Genomic DNA, 20169 nt, shown 5'->3' on the forward strand with positions numbered 1-20169 from the left:
TAATCCCCTTGTTTGTTCTGCACAACCCTCCTGGCAGGGAAGCAGGAGGACAGGTGATGCTATATGGGATCAGAGAAACTGAGGCCTAGAGAGGAGGCATCAACAATCTGGGTGCCATGAGTCACTGGCAGTTTGGGTAGTACCTGGGTGTCCTGCTGCTTTCTGCTCCACTGACATGCTGCAGGTTTTCTCCAGCTTCTTCACATCTTTCTAGTGTCGTAGGTATAAGGAAATTCCAAGTGACCCTGTACTGATGCCTGTTGCTTTATAGGTGAAAAGGACAGAATATTTTATTGAATGGGCAGTACACATATTCGTCTGTTCATTCATTTGTTCAGCAGACACTTAACTGAGCACTGACGTCCTACACCTGGGTAAGGGTGGGAGCACAGTACGGACAGAGACAAACACAAGAGGGACAAAGCAAGGACTCAGTCCCCTCCCTCAGTAGCTCACAGTCCAGTGGTAGAGAGGATACATGTTCACACGTACATGTTTATAGTAGAATTTAGCAGGGTATGAATAATCTTGCTAATGTAAAGTGAGCTTTCTTCCTGGTTTATATACAAATGAAAACTAAGAAAGCATTTGTATGTGCTGTTTAATATTTATGGCACATCTTTTTCCCTAAAGTGTTAGGCACTTTCGTTGTAATTATTTAGAAAATTGTCTGCTGATAAATTGTCCTAAATTATATCCCAATATAGATGAATAAATTTAGACCTTATTAGGTCGATGTAATCTAGTTGGAAATGTAGCCTTACAGCAAATGCCAGACCATAATGTGCTGATATAGTTTTACTATTAAACGTTTCCATTTAGTACACAGTATCACTCAGTCATCAAATTTTTATTTAGAACTTTCAGAGGGATATAAAGGAAGCATCAGGCAGCTGCTGCCCTCAGCCACAAACTATCAGCAATGAAACATTCATTCTTTAATTCCTTCAACCTTAATTTGAGTATCCAGGCACTGCGGATATGAGCATACATGTGTTGAATAATATATAAATAAATAAAGTGTAAAATTTATTGTGATTGTGTTTGACAGCAGATATCGGAGAAAATTGCTGGATGAGCCAAGGACCCCAAGGGCGTAGCAGGATTTAGGGAGGAGAAGTATGGGTTAAAGTTTTCGCAAAGAATTTCCAAGTTTCGTAGAACTATTAATAGTTCATAAAAGATAAGAACAAGTAGGGGATAAAGGAAGATCTGAGGGGATTCTAAGTGAGGGGAGATGGGGAGCAGAGGCAAGGAGGAAATAGGAAACATACAGAAGGCTGCCCCAGGAGGGGCATATGCTAAATAAACCCAGTTACGTGCATGCTTGCTCACTGAATAAGATAACACACCTCAGGACCTGGGCCTAAGGTACAGTCTTCTCTCTGCCTCTAACCAGCCAACTCTGATATTGTGCAGGTCACTTCATTTCTCTGCAACTTTATTAAAGAACTCAAAAATCTATCTAGTATCAGGAAATTCTGCAAAGTCTAATTTGTGCATCTCCTTCTGTACCCACTCAGCCTGTCCCCATTGCCTGTCTCATCCAGCCAAGGCCTTTGCCAGCTTTGGAAGTCTCTGTGTCTGCTCCAGAAAGCTGGGGTCCTTGTGGCCTCATGTGAAATATTTCCCATGCCTTCTTGCATTTTCTTTATTTCTTGGAGCTCTCTAGCCTATAAATGTGGTCTGCCTCTAGAATTGTCATCTGGGCTGGCATTTCTAGAGAACTCTTTCATTCTATCCTTCAATCACCTTCTATGTTCATATTAATCGGTTCTCACAATAGTTCTTCCATTACATGTTCTCTTGATTTAATATGATAACAGACTTCATCTGGGTAAAGCAAAACTGATATTTCCTTACAGTAACTCTAAGGGATTGTATTCTTTAATTGTGGTAGAGTTTTGTTTTGTGCTTGTTTGCATCTGATACAGGCTTAAATAAAGGACAGTGCCTGGAGCTTGGAAACAATTTGATTCCTTCACCCAACAAACATTCAAACTGTATGTGATCTGGGCCCCCTGCTGAGAACACTGTTCTCTACTCCAGGACTCCCACTCTAGGAGGGGAAACAGGCCCTGCAGCATAAGAAAACACTAAGGGACATTGTGGGGAGCCGTGTTTGCCTTTAATTGTAATAGAATTTGTGGCAATGGGATTATTTATCATGAAAAAAATTATATGTAATATAATAAATAAGTTCTGTGTAATAGTGGTTGTTAAATGACTCTGAAAATCTCTCGTTGGCTGAATGGATTCCATGCAGTTCTTCCTGACCCCTAGTCGCTACCAGGGCCTTCCCCCTACCCCCCACCAAGCAGCTCTTTTCAGTTTGTGTTTTATATTAACTGTCCTTATAAGAATTACTGTTTAAAAAGGCTATCCATTGATATTTTAAAGTTTGGAAACTATACTATAGAAGATGCTTCATCATAGACTCCTGGACTCTCTTGAGAAGCTGCATTTTGGGATCTTGTGAGCAGAGGATTTTCCTTCTCAAGAAGCTGCTCTGAGATGGGACCCCTCTCCTTGGAATATTTAGAACAGTTTCCAGCATAGAATTTACAGCTTTCCCTTCTCAGAAAAACAGTATTGGAATTTTGCCTCAAGTTGATTATTAACACAACATGACAGAAAGACAGGTTCTCTGAATATATTTTCACCTCCAACTTTTTTTAAAAAGTGAAGTGTAAGGTAGAAACCAGAATAGGAAATAGGTGAGGCAGGTGTTGAGGGCCATTTCCAGAAAGGATTACTTAATAGTAGTAGGAGTTTTCTAATCCAAAACCAGGTCCTGGAGAAGTTGAGGAATTGGTGGAAGGCTGCAGTTTCAAGAGCTGGAGAACTGGTTAGCGGGAAGAAGCCTACAGCGGAGGAAGGATCAGCAGAGATGGAATGGGAAAGGGGGCCAGGGTTTCCCTTCCTCAGGATAGTGGAGTCTCCATCAGCATCTGTTCCTGGGGCCTCTCCTGGATTCCAGGAGTTGTGCTTCGCTGGGCCCTGGGGGAAACAGAGAAGAAAGTTGAGTTTGCCTGAGTAAGCCAAGTGAAAAGCCCACAGGATAGCTGGAGAAGGGAAATGGCTAGAAGGTCAGGAGCCCAGAGAGCTAATTTTAAAGGATAGGGAATTATGGAAGCCCTGGGGATGTTTTCTTCTCTTAGTCTCTGATGGGGGCTTGTATTTGCTTCCTATATATGCTATAAAAAACCACCACAAACTCAGTGGCTTTTAAAACAATACAAATTTATTCTCTTGCAGTTCTAGAGGGTGGAAATAAAAAAAAAACAGTCTCAATGGGTTAAAGTCAAGATATTGTCAGGACTGGTTCCTTCTGGAGGCTCTGAAATTGTTCAGAGGAACAATTGCTAGATGAAGGCAGGGATTCACGATCTCCACTTGAAGCCTTTGAGGATATGCTCAGATACTTTGTCTTGAGGGCAGAACCAGCCTGGACTGTTGCCGGAGGTGAGATCCCCAGACCTTCCTTTCAGCAGATGGAATGTGCCCTGGTGTGCACCAGGTCTTGGTGAGACTGAGCACTGTTGGGGCAGCCTCTCCAGAGTTGACTTGTCTGGTGCTGGAAGCAGGAATGTGAGCTGCTGCGACTGCATTAGGAGGAAACAGTTCTCCTCCTTTTAATTGGCAGCTTTGGTAGTTCTGTAGCTTTACTGCACCACAGATCAGCTGTGTTTCCCCAGGCCACCATCTGCCCTGATGGTTTAACATCAGGGTGGGAGGCTGCAGAGGCCCTGCCAGGTGCCCTAAGGGAGGCATGTGAGAGTTTCCTGCTCTTCCTCACTTGAGCCTACAGATGGTAAAGAGCCAGGCACTAATGATATTTTCAGTCTGCGAACATCCTTCTAAAAAGTAGGATTTTCAAAAAGTGACCTTTTGTTAGGGAAGAACAGTGTCTGGCTTAAGCGCATACTTCCACCTTCACCCATAGTAGTGCTTTCAGTAGCTCTAGGGGATGTAATGTGGATGCATTTCACTTGCTGTATAGCATGAGGCAAATGGCTTGGTCTGATTTGCTCACTCAGGTCTAAGAGGATCTAATAATTCATCCCAGTTCTGGTTCTTCCCTGCTCTCAAACCACCTGTGAGACCTGCTTCCCCTGTACTCCTCAGCCCTATGGGCCAGGGTCCAGCCCATCCCAAGCCCTTTCTATCACCTGTAGGTTTGAACCCGGGTCTTTTGGGCCTCTGTGAGCCTCAATAGGTCAGCGCATTCATGACAAGGGAGAGAAAGAGGGGAGTCCAGAGAGGAAGAGCAGAGAAACAGTCCTCCCCTGCCTCTGCCCATGACAGTTTTCCTAGTACTTTCTTATGCATCGTTTTATCTTTTCCTCACATCTTCTGGCAGCGGGCAGCACAGGGCCATTTTCCCCCCAGGTAACAGAGTCTAGCTTCTGACTGGCTAAATGACTTGCCAGAGGAAAAGGATGTTGGAGACTGGATGGTGTCCCAGATCTTTCCACTGCCCCATCTAAAGAGCAGGCCTTGGCTGTGCCTGGCTGGCCTTCACAGCAGCGGCCCCTGTCTCCTCCACAGTCAGGACAAGGAGCCAAAGGATGTAAGGGACAAGTGTCTGCTCTGCCAGACTTGTTCGACCCATGTCATAGCCATCTTCAACTTTAGAGACTGTATTGCAGGTCGTCGGAGGTGTATCTGTCTCCTCCCCCTAGTTTGAGAGTTCCCTGAGGACAGGAACAGTTCCTTTTTCCTTATGTAACTGTTTTTTTCTCCCAGTACCTAGTTCAGCACCTGGAAGATGGTCGATATAAGAAACAACCCTAACTACCACACACACACACACACACACACACACACACACACACTCACACAAACACAAACAGTATATGCAGCTTTTGTGCTGATATTGAACTATTATGACTCTTTGAGGTCTATGAGGCTTCATCCCTGTGGTAAGGGGCCAGACCACCTGTAAGGAAGTGGTGTTCCCACTGCTGGTCATCCTGGGGCAAGGCTGGAGAACTGTTTCTTCTCTTGGTTCCTGTTGTCTTGGGCCTTGCCTCTGCAGAATAAGATGCACTTGAAGACTTTTTCCCAGGTCATGGGGAATGAAGACTTCTCCTTGCAGGGAGGAGGAATAACTGGGACAGCCCCCAAAGAGTACCCACATAGGGCCAGGCGCGGTGGCTCACGCCTCTCATCCCAGCACTTTGGGAGGCCGAGGCAGACAGATCACGAGGTCAGGAGTTCGAGACCAGCCTGGCCAACATGGTGAAACCCCATCTCTACTAAAAATACAAAAAGTAGCCAGGCATGGTAGTGCTGCATGCCTATAATCCCAGCTACTCAGGAGGCTGAGGCAGGAGAATCACTTGAACCTGGGAGGTGGAGGTTGCAGTGAGCCGAGATCACACCATTGCACTCCAGCCTGGGCAACAGAGCAAGACTCTGTCTCAAGGAAAAAAAAAAAGAGTACCCACACAGAGGAGCCTGAGGGCAGCCACCTCTAGCAGCCCCTATAAGTTACTCTCTGAGTTGGACTCCTGAATGCTGTCCTCAAACAGAAGGCTTGCAGTGCTGTGGAGTATGAAGGCAGGGCCTGTCCCAAGACTGAGCCTGTGTGACCTGGGAAGCAGTACGCTGAGGCCCCCAATTGAGGGACAGGAGTGACCAGTAAGATTCCTAATGGGAAGATAGATGTCAGGACAACAATTGGGCCAGGATCTCCTATTGCTCCACTCCATGGGGAGATTCTCCCTTCTCAGCTCAGAGTGTCTTTTTATTAAAGCAGCTAGCAGGCTTCCTTACATTAGATGCCAGATAAGTCTTTACTAAACAGACCACCATTCTTTTTCCTTGCAAATGTGGCTCTGTTGAGGTATGGATTAAATCAGCCCTTATGGGCTAGCATGGGCACTTTGTCACTCCTTATTACATGATATTTGTGGGAAATAGCATTCCAGGTTCCAAACAAGGGATTGGCAAGGGAAGCTTGGGAACACAGCTGAGTCACCAACAAGGGCCTTGCCACTCCTGGTCTGAAGCACTAAGTGTGTTTCTGTGTGAGGGCTACCTTCAAGGCTGCAGTCCAGCACAGGCTCAGAGCCCACAGGCTTGGCATTCTGGCCTGTGGATGTTTGACAAGCAGGGCAGTGTTTCCACTGGGGACAGTAAGGGGTGAGTTCACCAAGCTTCCTTCACTACCCTGTGTTACCTTATCTTGTGTAACATGACAAGAACCCAGTCTGAGCCATGTAGAGCTACCGAGGGGCTGTAAGCAGGAAGGGGGCCTAACCACATCTGCATTTCAGAAAAGATCGTTCTAGGGGAGGAGAAACCTGTAATCAGACTGTTGCAAAGGTTCTGTGGAGGGAGGGACAGTGGCGTGGGACAGGATGACTGCTGAGCATATGGGGAGAAGAGCCTGGGCCTGGCAGCTGGCTGGCTGTAGGAGATGCAGGAGGAAAAGCTGAGGGTGGTATCCACATTTCTGGTGTTCTTGGAGTGACATTGAAGTAGTCAGCTGGAGAGAGGAGCCTTGAGCTCTTCTTTTGGGAAACCCTGAAAATGCTGTGAAGACTTCCACAGAACTGCCATCCCAACTGATAGTTCAAATGCGTTCTTAAAATATCTGATCTTGGCAGAGTGGAACTCTGTGTAGGAAGAATCACATGGTACTTCTTATTCCATGTTCAGTCCCCAGCGTGTGGTGTCTATTTTGAAATATGTGGTTTATGCAATTTTATCAAGAGAGGTTTCTTAGGGTCATTTGTTAATATTTTTCCATTTATAAAGTTATTATATACCCTATAAAATTCCAGGTTAAGGAACAAATAACTTTAGAGCATTTCTTAAACATATCTTATAAAGCCGTATACTGTTGTGGGAATTCAAATTGTACAGCTAAAAACTATAGGCTGTCAGCAATGACATTTTAACGTGCATATTTCCATCTGAATGATTAACTGTCAGTTGATACAAAGAAGCTTTCTAAGTATTCCTTGCTTTTCTCTGTTTTTTTTTTTTAATGAAACAACACACTTATAAACCAATGCAAAATTCACACAGTATTAAATCACTCATTTAGGCTATCAGAGCCATGATAGCAGGAAGGGAACAACACAAACATACAATTGGATGACATCTTCACAATTAATCCCAAAACATCTGTGAGTATGCATGAGAGCTGATGCCTGTTTGAAGCAGAATGTTGCAAGCAGAAACTCTTCTATTTTACTCTTCTCATTAAAACAAAACGAAACAGAGAAGAGTTTCTATGTTTGAAAACTGGGAGTGAGGACAACAGGCCTCTTGCCGTATGGCATTCAACCCGGTCCAAGGTGAGAGTTTCTTCGTCCTAAAACTCTTGAGATAAGAATTCCGTTTATGATGATTCAAACTAAGGCTGTTAACATTATTCGGCCTAAAGAGAGAAGAGTATTGTGTGTCCTGTTTATATGATGAAAATAAATTTTTCTAGGGCTGCCATTTGCTTTTCTCTTCATTATGGTTACTGTCCCACAATTGGAAGACTTTTTTTTTATCCACGTGTACAAGGAAATCGAAGGGTTATGAAGTCCAGAGTTGATATTTGAGAAACTGAAAAACAATGATGTGTGATAAAAATGCCAAAAGCTTTTACTTTTACTGGGAGACTTCCTTGTTTTATAATTGCCAGCTTTTCCAACAATGGTGTACAAGAGGGCACCCTAAGAAATTATCTTTGTGAGGAACATGTAAAATGTCCTGAGGTCCATATTGATCTTCCTTCCTCCACAACGAGAAAATAACAAAAGTAAATATTTGGGGCCACGTTTATTTTGGTAAGATAAGTTCCAGTCTGGTTTCTAAAATTAGGGATTCTGTGGAATGCACGTGGTTTGGGGCATCCTGCCGGAGAACTTTGTCTCAGGGATATGTAGTTTCTTATGTGTTGTTGCTTGCTTGGAAATGTGCATCTAAACCTTCCCTCACGTCTGCTCATCTGTGCAGACCCAGTGCCGATGGTAGGAAAGCTCTACCCAGCTAATTTTGGTAGGCTCTCGCTGTCCTGCCCTCACCAGCATGACCTCTCCTTAGATGCTGCTCTGAGCCTGCTGTCTGTCCTTCATACACCACCAGACAGGTCTTCCAAGAGCACAGCTCTCATCCTGTCCCTGTTTCTCCTCAAAGCATTCACTGACCACCCCCTCCCTCAACTGCTTTCAGGCTAGAGGCCCTTCCCCACTCTGGTCTCACCTAGTGATACATCCTCTGCCACCAGCCAAACTGTCCTCCTTATTGCCTCCTGTAACTTTCCATTTCTCCCTCATAAACATCCTTCCCTGTCCCCTCTGTCCATCCTTCCTTGCTCAGTTGTAGTTGCCCCCATCCTCTCTCCCCACAACAGAAGTCTGCCCTGCCCAGGGAAGCCTTGTTTGACCCCTCTGAATATTTGCCTGCACCATCCATCACTGTCTCTTTCCCTCAATGTCTAGTGCAAAGGAGGTACTCAGGAGACATTTCTGTGTAGCCCTCCCTTTTGGCATCAGGTTTCCCCCTTCTAGAAGCTGTTCTTTTCCTGTAAAAGGCATACCCTCCAAGCATTGGTTCCTGGGCTTGTCTTTCTCCTCTACCCGGACTCATTGAGCTTTCTGTAGAATGTAGCAGTGGCAGCAGCTACCCTTCTCCTCCCGCTGGGGCTTGTTGGAGGCTGTGGGGCCTGCATTCACAGGGCCTTGCCTTCACCTATCATCTTGGGTAGAATAGGAACAAGCAGGGCTGTCTTCCTGGGCTTGCAACGTATGCCCTGCAGAGGCCTCAAACTTGTTTTAATACTCTGCTGTTACCATCCTGACCTTCTTACTTTTTGAACAAAGGCCCTGCATTTTGAACAAAGGGGCTCACAAAGTATATACCCAAACCTGGGAACAGAGCAGATAAGCAGAAGGGATGCTTGTTGGGGTACATGTGGAAGCCAGTGGAGGGTGTGTGACAGAGAATGGGAAAAGGAGGAATGGAAGAGATGCACTAGTTGTGAAGCACTTTTCTCGCACGGGTGACAGTTCTCCAGTACACACAGACACACACACACACACACACACACCACTCTTTAACCTCTTCCCTGCTTTGCTTTGATCCACAATACTTAACACTGTGTGACGTACTCTATATTTTACATGTTTATTTATTGTGTCTCTCTTCCCGCTGGAATCTAAGCTCAATAAGGGCAGGAATTTTTTAAGTTTTGTTCACTTATCTATTCCACAGTAGCTGACATATAGTAAATGCCAAATAAGCAAGTGTTGGATGAATTCACTACCCTTTAGGGGCTGGCATTCCTGCTACATGGGGTGATCTGTGGTAGCTGGGGAGAGGTCTGTGAGGCCATGGGAAAGTCACAGAGGAGATGGCAGGCCAGCTGACAAAGGGAAATTAAAAGGTACCACACAATTAAGTGGGGCAAATACTAGCAGAGCCCAAGTGAGCAGAGCAGCAGGAGCTAGTCAGAGATCTTCATCAAAGCCATGCCAGGGAACTGAGGGCAACAGCTAAGGTAGATGGTAAGATCGTAGGTTTCCAGCCCACATGAGAAACACCGTTATTTTTTTCATTCCTGCCCCAACCATGGGCCATGGGTCAGTGCTAGCAAATAAATTACTTATTAAGGAATTATTTTTCTTTTTGGCCTAGGTGATGTCAGTCCTTTGAAAAGGATTATTGAGGACTCTTGAGGCATTCTTGGAGGTGATTATTCCTTTATTCAGTTGTGAACCAGTTTTTGGTGTCAGTGGTTTGAGAGCAGACTGTAGATATGGTTACATTTTCATTGCAAAACTAATGTGGAATATTCTGGATGAACTGGCTTACTACTTTAACAAATCATTCTAATTAAACATCATGGGAAGAAGTTTGATACAATTATGGCAGATTTTAGAGGAATTGTATCACTGAATTGTGGCTTTTGTCCATAGATAAGTATAAGAAGCAAATGCATTTATTATCTGGAGGAGGCTTGCAGTGTTCAGTGTTAGGCAATAGTGATAGTGAGCCAGGAGTGAACAAGCTCCTCCACTTGGGTCACTCACAGTCCAGAGCGGGTGGGAAAGATATCCCACAGGACGATGATCATAATGACAGAAGGCAGAAAACTATAAGCTTTGCAGTCCAACAAACCTGAGTTCAAATTCCAGTTCTACTACTTAGTGCATCATTGGGCGAAGTCTGGGTACTTCACTTCTTGGTCACATCTTGGCCAGTAAAATGGGGGTAATGGTACAGGCTGAGTATCCCTAATCCAAAGTCCAATTACTCTAAAATCCAAATCTTTTTGAATGCTGATATGAAGCCACAAGTGGAAAATTCCACACCTGACCTCATGATGGGCATTTGTAACCATTGAAGAATAGAAAAAATAAAAATTAAAAATGGGCAAAGGGCTTGAATAGATATTTCTCCAAAGACATACAGGTGACCAACAGGTATATGAAAAGGTGCTCAAAGATGGTGGGTCAAAGTCAAAACTTTGTTTCATGCACAAAATCATTAAACATATTGTGTAAAATTACCTTCAGGCTATGTGTTTAAGGTATATATGAAATATAAATGAATTTTATGTTTAGATTTGGGTCCTATCCCCCAGATAACTCATTATGTATGTGCAAATATTCCAAAATCCGAAAAAATTTGAACACCAAAACACTTCTGGTCCCAAGCATTTTGGATAAGGGATCTTCAGGGTACCATGTGTGATGAAGATTGCATAAGGTTGGCATGTGAGCCACTGGCATGAGTACAGCAGGCATTCCGTCAGCAGTAATTGTGGCTTCTCCCAAGGCCAGTCTTTTTTTGTTTAATTGTGGTTAAAAGAAAAATATATGTGTGTGTGTGTGTGTGTGTGTGTGTGTGTGTGTGTGTGTGTATGTGTATATATATATATATATATATAAAAAATGAAATCTACCCTCTTAAGTTTTTAAGTGAACAGTACAGTCTTATCTATATTGTACATTGTTGTACAGCAAATCTCTAGAATTTTTTTATTTCATTGACTGAAACTCTAGACTCATTGAACAGTAACTCCTCATTTCCCCCTCCTCCCAGCCCTTGGCAGCCACCATTCTACTTTATGCTTCTGTGAGTTTGCCTGCATTAAATACCTCATGTAAGTGGAATCATACAGTATTTGTTCTGTGACTGGCTTATTTCTCTTTGTATAATATCCTTTATCTATGCTGTGGCACATGTCACAATTTCCTTCCTTTTTAAGGCTGAATAATATTCCTCCATCTATGCTGTGGCACGTGTCAAAATTTATTTCCTTTTTGAGGCTGAATAATATTCCATTGTATGCATGGACCACTTTTTCTTTATCCATTCATCCGTTAATGGACGTTTCAGTTGTTTATTGTAAATAGTGCTGCAGTGAACATGGAGTACAAATAGCTCTTCAGGATTCTGTTTTCAGTTATTTTGCATAAATACCTAGAAGTGGAATTGCTGGATTACATGGTAGTTCTACTTTTAACTTTTTGCAGAAACTCCATACTGTTTTCCACAGCAGCTATACCATTTTACATTTTCACTAACAATGCACAAGCATTTCAGTTCCTCCACATCCTAGGCAAAACTTATTTTTCTTTTTCTGTTTTTGATGGTGGCCAGCCTAATAGGTGTGAAGTGATATCCCATTGTGGTTTTGAATTGCATTTCCCTGATGGTCAGTGATGTCGTGCACCTTCTTATATACCTGTTGACCACTTGTATGTCTTTAGAGAAATATCTATGCCAGTCCTTTGCCCATGTTTTATTTTTTCTGTACTTCAGTGGTTGCAAATGACCGTTTTTTAATCAGGTTATTTGGGTTGTGGTTTGGTTTTTGTTGTCGTTCTGCATTGTAAGGGTTCTTTATATTTTTTTGGATACTCTTTTATTGGATATATTGTTTGCATATACTTTCTCCCATGCTTTAGGTTGCCTTTTCACTGTGCTGTTTCTTTTGCTGCATAGAAGCTATTTAGTTTGATGTAGTGCCACTTGTCTATTTTTGCCTTCATTACCTGTGGTTTTAGTGTCATATCCAAGAAATCATTGCTAAGACCAATGTTATGAAGTTTTTCCCCTGTGTTTTCTTCTGGGCTTTTTATAGTTTCAGGTCTTATGCTGAAGTCTTTAATCCATTTTGAGTTGACTTTTGTGTAGGGCATAAAATAAAGGTCCAACTTCATTCTTTTGCATGTGGATATCATTTTGCCAGCACCATGTCTTGAAAAGACTATCCTTTCCCCATTGTGCAGTCTTGGCATCCTTGTCAAAGATCATTTGACCGTACATGCATAGGTTTATTTCTGCACTCTCTATTCTGTTCCATTGGTCTATGTGTCTGTCTTTATGCCAGTACCATACTATTTTAATTACCATAGCTTTGTAATTTGTTTTGAAGTCAGGAAGTGTGAGGCCTCCAGCTTTGTTGTTCTTTATCATGATTGTTTTGGCTATTAAGGGTCTTTTGTGGCTCCATATGAATTTTAGGATTGTTTTTCCTGTTTCTGCAACAAAAACAAAAGCCGTTTGGATTTTGATAGGGATTGCATTGAATCTGTAGATTGCTTTGGGTAATACAGACATTTTTACAATATTAGGTCTTCCACTCCATGAACACAGATGTCTTTCCATTTATTAGATCTTCTTTAGTTTCTTCCAGCAATGTTTCGTAGTTTTCAGTGTACACATTTTTCACCCCCTTAGTTAAGTTTATTCCTAAGTATTTTATTCTTTTTAATGCTATTGTAAATGAGATTGTTTTCTTAATTTCCTTTTTGGTTTATTCATCGTCAGTGTATAGAAGCAGATCTGTCTTTTGCATGTTGATTTTTGTCTTGCAACTTGGCTGAATTCATTGATTAGTTCTAACAGCTTTTCTGTGGACTCTTTAGGGTTTCTACATATAAGATCATGTCGCTGTGATATTTTTACTTCTTCCTTTCTGATTTGTATGCCTTTTATATCTTTTTCCTGTCTAATTGCCCTGACTAGAATTTCCCATAATGTGTACAGTAGAAATGGCAAGAGTGGCATGGTGGCTCACGCCTGTAATCCCAGCACTTTGGGAGGCTGATGCAGGTGGATCACTTGAGGTCAGGAGTTCAAGACTAGCCTGACCAACATGATGAAACCCTGTCTCAACTAAAAATACAAAAATTAGCTGGGCATGGTGGTGCGTCCTGTAATCCCAGCTATTCAGGAGGCTGAGGCAGGAGAATAGCTTGAACCGGGAAGGTGGAGGTTGCAGTGAGCTGAGATCGCACCACTGCACTCCAGCCTGGGTGACAGAGTGAGACTCCGTCTCAAAAAAAAAGAAAAAAAAAAAAAGAAGAAGGGTATGGTGTTTACCTTCCATGTATTTGTGAATTTTCCAGTTTTCCTTCTGTAGATTTCTAGTTTCATTTCATGGTCAGAAAAGATACTTGGTATGATTTCAGTCTTTTAAAATTTTAATTTTTATTTTAAATTTATTTTTAGATACAGGGTTTCACTCTGTCACCCAGGCTGGAGTGCAGCAGTGTAATCATAGTTCACAGCACCCTCAGCCTCCCAGGCTCAGGCAGTCCTCATGCCTCCAGCCTCCCAACTAGCTGGGACTACAGGAGCACACCACCATGCCCAGCTAATTTTTTCTTTTCCTTTTTCTTTATTATTATGATTATTATTACTACTACTACTACTATTATTATTGAGATGAGGTCTTGCTGTGTTTCCCAGGCTTGGTCTCGAACTCTGGGCCTCAAGCAATCCTCTCACTTCAGCCTCCCAAAAAGTTGGGATTACAGGCATGAGCCACCACACTTAGATAATTAGTCTCTTCCTAAATTCTTAAAGACTTGTATTGTGACTTAACATGTGATCTATCCTGGAGAGTATTTTGCATATTTGAGAAGAATGCATATTCTACTGCTGTTGGATGGAATATTCTGTGTCTCTTAGGTCCATTTGGTCTATAGTGTTATTCAGGTCTTCTGTTTCCTTGTTGACCATTGTTGAAATCTACTATTATTGTGTTGCTGTCTATTTCTCTCTTCATTTCTATCGGTGCTTGCTTCATGTATTTGGGTGCTCTGATGTTATATCTTCCTGGTGAACATATAACTCCTTTTTATCATTATGTAATATCTTTGTTTGTCTCTTGTGACAGCTTTTTGACTTAAAGTCTTTTTGGTCTGATATAAGTATGGCTACTTTTGCTCTCTTTTTTTTCCGTTTACATGGAATATCTTTTTCCATCCTTTCACTTTCAGCCTATGTGTGTCTTTAAATCTAAAGTGAGTCTCTTTTAGTCAGTGTATAATTGGGTCTTGCTTTTCTCCCCCTCTATTCAGCTCCTCTTTGTCTTTTTTTTTTTTTTTCCTTCGAGACAAGGTTTCACTGTGTCATTCAGGCTGGAGTGCAGTGGTGCACTCACAGCTTATTGCAGCCTTGAACTCCTGGGCTCAAGCAATCCTCCCACCTCAGCCTTTCAGATAGCTGGGACTACAGGTGCACTCCACTTCAACTAGCCAACTTTTTTAGTTTTTTTAAAAGATGGGGTCTCACTGTGTTTCCCAGGCTGATCTCAAACTCCTGGCCTCAAGTGAGCCTCTTGCCTCAGCCTCAGCCTCCCAAAGCACTGGGATTATAGATGTGAGCCATCACACCCAGCCCCCTCTGTGTCTTCTCTGTGTCTTTTGATTGGGGAGTTTAATCCATTTGTGCTTAATTATGATAGGAAAGGACTTACTATTGCCATTTTGTTAACTGTTTTCTATTTATCTTACAGTTCTTTTGTTCTTCTTTCCTCTCTTTCTGCCTTCCTTTGTGGTTCATTAATTTTTTGTAGTGACATGCTTTGATTCCTTTCTCATTTTCTTTTATCTCCTATAGGTATTTTCTTTGTGGTTACTATAGTGCTTACATGAAACATTTTGTAGTAATAATAATCAATTTTCAGCTGATAAACAGGGCCAATCTTAATCTTGGAACAGTTTTTAGGTCTAAGCTATAACAATTTTTTTTTTTACTTTTTCATTTTAACTTTTATTTAACTGCTTTAAAAAAGAATTAAACTAGAATTAGTAAATGTGTGTTCCACAAGTTGATAGAACTAAGTTCCAATGGTATGTTTTAGGGCTTGATAAAGTGACTCTAACATTCATTTGTAAGTGTAAAGTGTTAGACTAGCCAAGAAATTTTTGGAAAAAAAAGTAAAAGGGAGACTAGTACTATTAAACATAAAACAATAAATCTACAGTAGCAAAGCTGTGTTTTACTGGCACAAGCAGGAGAATGGAATGGAAGAGAACAGGATAGATTTGAACAGGATAACCAAATCACTGTATGAGGATAAATTGTTCAGTAAATATTTGGATATTTGATTAATCTTTTGGAGGAAAAGGGCAGATTCATACATCCTACTGTATACCAGGACAAACCCCAAACAGTTAAATGTTTACTTTAAAAGATATTTACTAGAAGAGAATATAAGTGAATAGTATATCGTATTAGAATGAGAAGGAACCATTTTTAAAAAAGATTTTTAGATGTGACTTCCTAAAAGCTTAAAACTTCTGCAGATCCGTAACAACTATAAACAAAAGTAAAAGGCCTAAAACAAACTGAGACAACAGTTCCAACATACAGAACAGTCAAGGGATTATGTTGCTGATATATGACAAAGGAACTCTTATAAATCAAAGAAAAAATAGAAAAATGGGCAAAAAAAGTATATAAGCAGAGTTCTCAAAAGAAGAAATAGAAATGACCAAAATGCACAAAAGAGATGTAGAACTGGGATGGCAGTCAAAGAAATGCAAATTAAAACAACACGGAGTTGCTGTTTTTACCTTTCAGACTGGCAAAGGCCATTAAGTCTCTGTCTTGGCATCAGTGCTTCTATTGGCACAGCTTTAGTGGAACACCCCATGGGTGGGAGTGTACACTAGCACTGCCTTCCTAGGTGGCAGATTGTCCATAGGTATCAAGAGGCTTGACATTTTTTCAGACTTTGGTCCCAGCCATTACATGTCTAGAAATTTCTTCTAAGGGGATAATCTGACATGGACATAAAGATTATGTGCACTGGCTGGGCGCAGTGGCTCACGCCTGTAATCCCAGCATCTTGGGAGGCCGAGGCATGTGGATTAGTTGAGGTCAGGAGTTCGAGACCAGCCTGGCCAACATGGTGAAACCCTGTCTCTACTAAAAATACAAAAATTAGCCAGGCATGGTGGTGGGCACGTGTAATCCCAGCTACTCAGGAGACTGAGGCAGGAGAATCGCTTGAACCTGGGAGGTGGAGGTTGTGGTGAGTCAAGACCGCTCCACTACACTCCAGCCTGGGTAACAGAGCAAGACACTCTGTCTCAAGAAAAAAAAAAAAAAAAAAGATTATGTTCACTGATGCTCAGTGCAGTATTATTTTTGGAGTTTAAAATAATGCATGATACAGAATTATTATTTTAATACATGATATAAAATTCAAAAGATACAAAAGGGATTAGAGGGAAAAATCATTCTCCTCTCCCTTCCAGTTCTGTCTTCTATTTTCCCGATTTCTCTCCCAGGGGACAACCAGTTAGTTATAAATATTTCCAGAGATACTCTTTACCCATATAAGATTGTACATATACATGTGTTTTAAAATTTTATTTAATTTTGTATTTAGAGGTTAATGGTAGCATGCTACATGGACCTAGCAAGCTACTGTATGCACCTTGCTTTTCTCATTTACTGTCTCTTGGAGTATGCTCCATTCTCAGTAGGCAATATAGTGCAGAGATTGAGAGCACAGACCACTGGGTTTGAACAAACTCCACTCTTTACTAGCTAAGTCATCTTGGGCAAGTTTTCTAACTTCTCTGGGCCTTAAGTTCTTCATCTATAAAATGGATATAATAGTCCCTACCTCATAGGCATAGAATGACTGTAAGTATTAAATGAGTCAAGATACATGAAGTATATAGAGCTTGGCACATTTTACATAATTATTAACTATTACGAATACATATGGAGCTGCATCCTTCTTTTTAACACCTGTATAATATTCTACACTGGATGTATTATATATTTTATTTTGTCTGACCAGTCTCATATTGATGGACAACTAGATTGTTCCTAGTATTACTGTTGCAAACAAATTGCAGCATTTGCTGTGATGTATATTTTTAAAGGAAACAACATAAATGTCCAAAGTTAGTTTAATTATGGCACAGTATATGTCCATATGATGGAATAAATCAGAATAAGATTGTAGCTAGGTGTGGTGCTCAGGTCTGTTATCCCAATATTTTGGGAACCCAAAGTGGGAGTACTTCTTGAAGCCAGGAGTTAGAAAACAGTCTGGGCAACATATGGAAACCCTCTCTCTACAAAAAAAAAATTCAAAATATTAGCCAGGAACAGTGTCATATGCCTGTAGTCCCAGCTATTCAGGAGGCTGAGGTGAGAAGATGGCTTGAGCCCAGGAAGTCAAGACTACAGTGAGCCATGATTGCACCACACACTCCAGCCTGGGCAACAGAGCGAGACCCTCTCTCTTAAAAAAAAAAAAGAAAGAAAGAAAGAAAAGATGGTACAATGATATCTCATGATATGTGAAAATGTTTACATTTTATTAAGTAGAAACAAACACTTTTGAATTCTTACTAGATTTTTCCCATAATAAACATGATATAGATTGTACGAATTTAGAAATAATAGAAAAGTATAATCACCTTAGCCCCGTGATCCAGAAATAGCCACACTCAACATGTTGGTATATTTTACATAATCTCTCCTTCTGAAAACTTACACTAATTATTTTATGGGAAGCAAGAGTTACCATCTTTGCTAAAAGTAGCAGGGAGCTGTGAATTGGGTTCCCCAAATAGGGGGTTGGCCATATGTGGATGGCGTAGGTTAAAACTACTTGGAGGAGGGAGGCTTGCAGTAGACAAGAGGGATTCCTGGGAAAGTGGCGCTCTTTGAGCTATCTCTGGAAGGATAACAGGAGCTATTCCTTTTGAATATATCAGTCATTCTCATTGTTCTGTGTTTCCGTCCATATAGTCATTCACTCAGTAAACATCTATTATTAGAGGCCTATTTTATACCAACGTGTTTCTAGGTCCTAGGGGACTCAGATATGAACAAGATAGGTAAGGTCCCTGTACCCCTGGAGCCTACCCTCCAGAGCTTGTACAGACATTCATTACCGACTTACAGACATAGGGTATGTGTGCATGTGCCTGAGATGCTTCATCTCATACTGACCACAGACACTTCCCCGCATGTCTTCATAATGATCATCTCTTGTGGCTACACAGTGTTCCCTCCAGTTGCTATGTGCTGATTTTATTAACTATTCCTACTCTGTTGGACATTCATATTGTTTGCATGAATACTTCATAGTCTTTGGCACGTTACTCAACTGCTTTTCAAGTGAATTGTCCCAGTTTACAGAGCAACCAGCAACATGTGAGTGAATGGGCCTGTGCCATGAAAATCTCACCACCATCGTCTATATGTTTTTATCATTTCTATTCATTTAATAGGTTAAAAAAAAAACGGGGCCTTGTTGTTTAAACTTCTTTTATTTGATTATTGTTAAATTTTAACCTTTACTTCCTCTTAAGTGCATTATCTGTTCACATCCTTTGTTCTGTTACTTATTTTGGCTCTAAATGTTATAAACAGACTCTGTGCAGTGATGGCTAAGGGCTCAGATTCTAGACTCATACAAATCTGGTTTATGTCCAGCCCTGCTACTTAGAAGCTATGTGACCTTGGTCACAGGGGTTTAGGGAAGTGCTGAGGCAAGGAAGGGCATTTCCAGCAGAGGAGCTCTTCTGAGAAGCAGAATTAGTGAGAGGTTGGTGGCCTGGGTACATTTAAGGTGTGGTGGGACCTTGTCTGGCATCATCTAATAAGGCTACCAGGAGTATTATGGGTTTGTTCTGGAGTAGTTTTCAAACGTGGCATTTGGAGTGAAGGCAGGCAGCATTGGGCCTCAGATTCAGAGTTTCTCTATGGAAATTAGATCAAAACCTACAAGAGTCCCAGGGAAAGGTAGGGAGGGGCAAGTGGGAAAGCTGGGAGCCCTGGAGTCAGGTTGTTCTGGCTTTGAACCCCAGCAATCCCGATGCATAGTTGAGAATAGGTACTTTGAGTCTCTGTTTTCTCATCGGAAAATGGGTTGGTCATGTCAGTATTGCATACTGTGAAGACCAGAAACGATTTATGTCAGGGGCTTTGCACACACAAATAAGGCACTCAACAAATGTGGGTTGTTATGAACCCACAGTGGATGGGGAAACACATCTGCCTTTGTGGAAGATGAGAGCAGAATCCCTCCTGACCATTGTTAAGCCATCAGCCTTGCTCCTTCCCTTGGTTTGTCACTGCTGGAGGGACTACTGCCAGTACTGCAGTGGGAAAATGAGCTTTCAAAGGTACGTTTCTTTTATAGAGTGTCCGGTAGGAATTCCCTGGGGACATTTATCTCATGGAAATAGGAGAAGGACTGACTGGGTATCTCAAAAGGTGACTCTTAGTGACTGAGTCTCTTTTCTAGAAGAAAAGGATGTTTGGATTCTCAGCAGCCACATCTGCTTTTGAACTCTGTGCGGTTTGTGCCCTGGCCTCTTACCACTCCCAACACTCCCCCTTTTATTCAAACAGAGGACAGTTGTGTTTGTTGACCACTCTTTCAGGGTGGGAAAGGAATGTAATGTATGCATAGACTGCCCAGAATTTCCTGTTAGACACCCATTCCAAACCACGGCCCTGGGATGCATTCCAGAGATTACGGCCCAATTCTCAAAGAGAAGAAATGGCGCATTCATTTAAATGTCCCTGGCCTTCAGAAAGAGTTCCTCCTCTCCCCAGTTAAAAAAAAAAAAAAAAAAAAAAAAGGTGTTTAGCTTATTCCGTAATAATGTAGTTGTGAATTCAACTCTATGATTTCTTTAAGGTTGTAATGGCTCTGACCTTCCCACATGTGAAGAAATAGCCTTCACTTGGGCAATTTCAGTGTTCAGTTTTGTAGCATTAACAGCATTGATGTCCCCACTGATGCTTGGTACAGAGCATATGTTTAATGTTCTGCTATAAATACTTGAACAATGTAAATCTGCGATGGATTACCTTCTTAGTTCTGCTCTTGTGATGAGAAAGAAGCTAGTTTGAGGGCAGGCTTTTGGTGCTTTG

The 20169-nt window shown here is 41.7% G+C and overlaps 1 protein-coding gene across 5 annotated transcripts in view, besides 2 other annotated features; it reads left to right on the plus strand.

The window, feature by feature from the left end:
• The window catches only part of CTDSPL (CTD small phosphatase like), a 122590-nt gene that overhangs the window by 54927 nt on the left and 47494 nt on the right, over window positions 1-20169 (plus strand). The window lies entirely within an intron of this gene.
• Window positions 18501-18645: an enhancer, noted in NCBI's record as "145 bp enhancer 248 fragment used in the MPRA reporter construct; PK_construct_272". NCBI's record gives its function as "activates an SV40 promoter by MPRA in HepG2 cells {active_cell/tissue: HepG2}" and the evidence as "EXISTENCE:reporter gene assay evidence [ECO:0000049][PMID:23512712]".
• Window positions 18567-18580: a transcriptional cis regulatory region, noted in NCBI's record as "HNF1 motif; enhancer activity is reduced when this motif is scrambled". NCBI's record gives its function as "necessary for full MPRA enhancer 248 activity {active_cell/tissue: HepG2}" and the evidence as "EXISTENCE:site-directed mutagenesis evidence [ECO:0005528][PMID:23512712]".

Source organism: Homo sapiens, chromosome 3, assembly GCF_000001405.40.
Source record: "Homo sapiens chromosome 3, GRCh38.p14 Primary Assembly".
Taxonomy (NCBI): domain Eukaryota; kingdom Metazoa; phylum Chordata; class Mammalia; order Primates; family Hominidae; genus Homo; species Homo sapiens.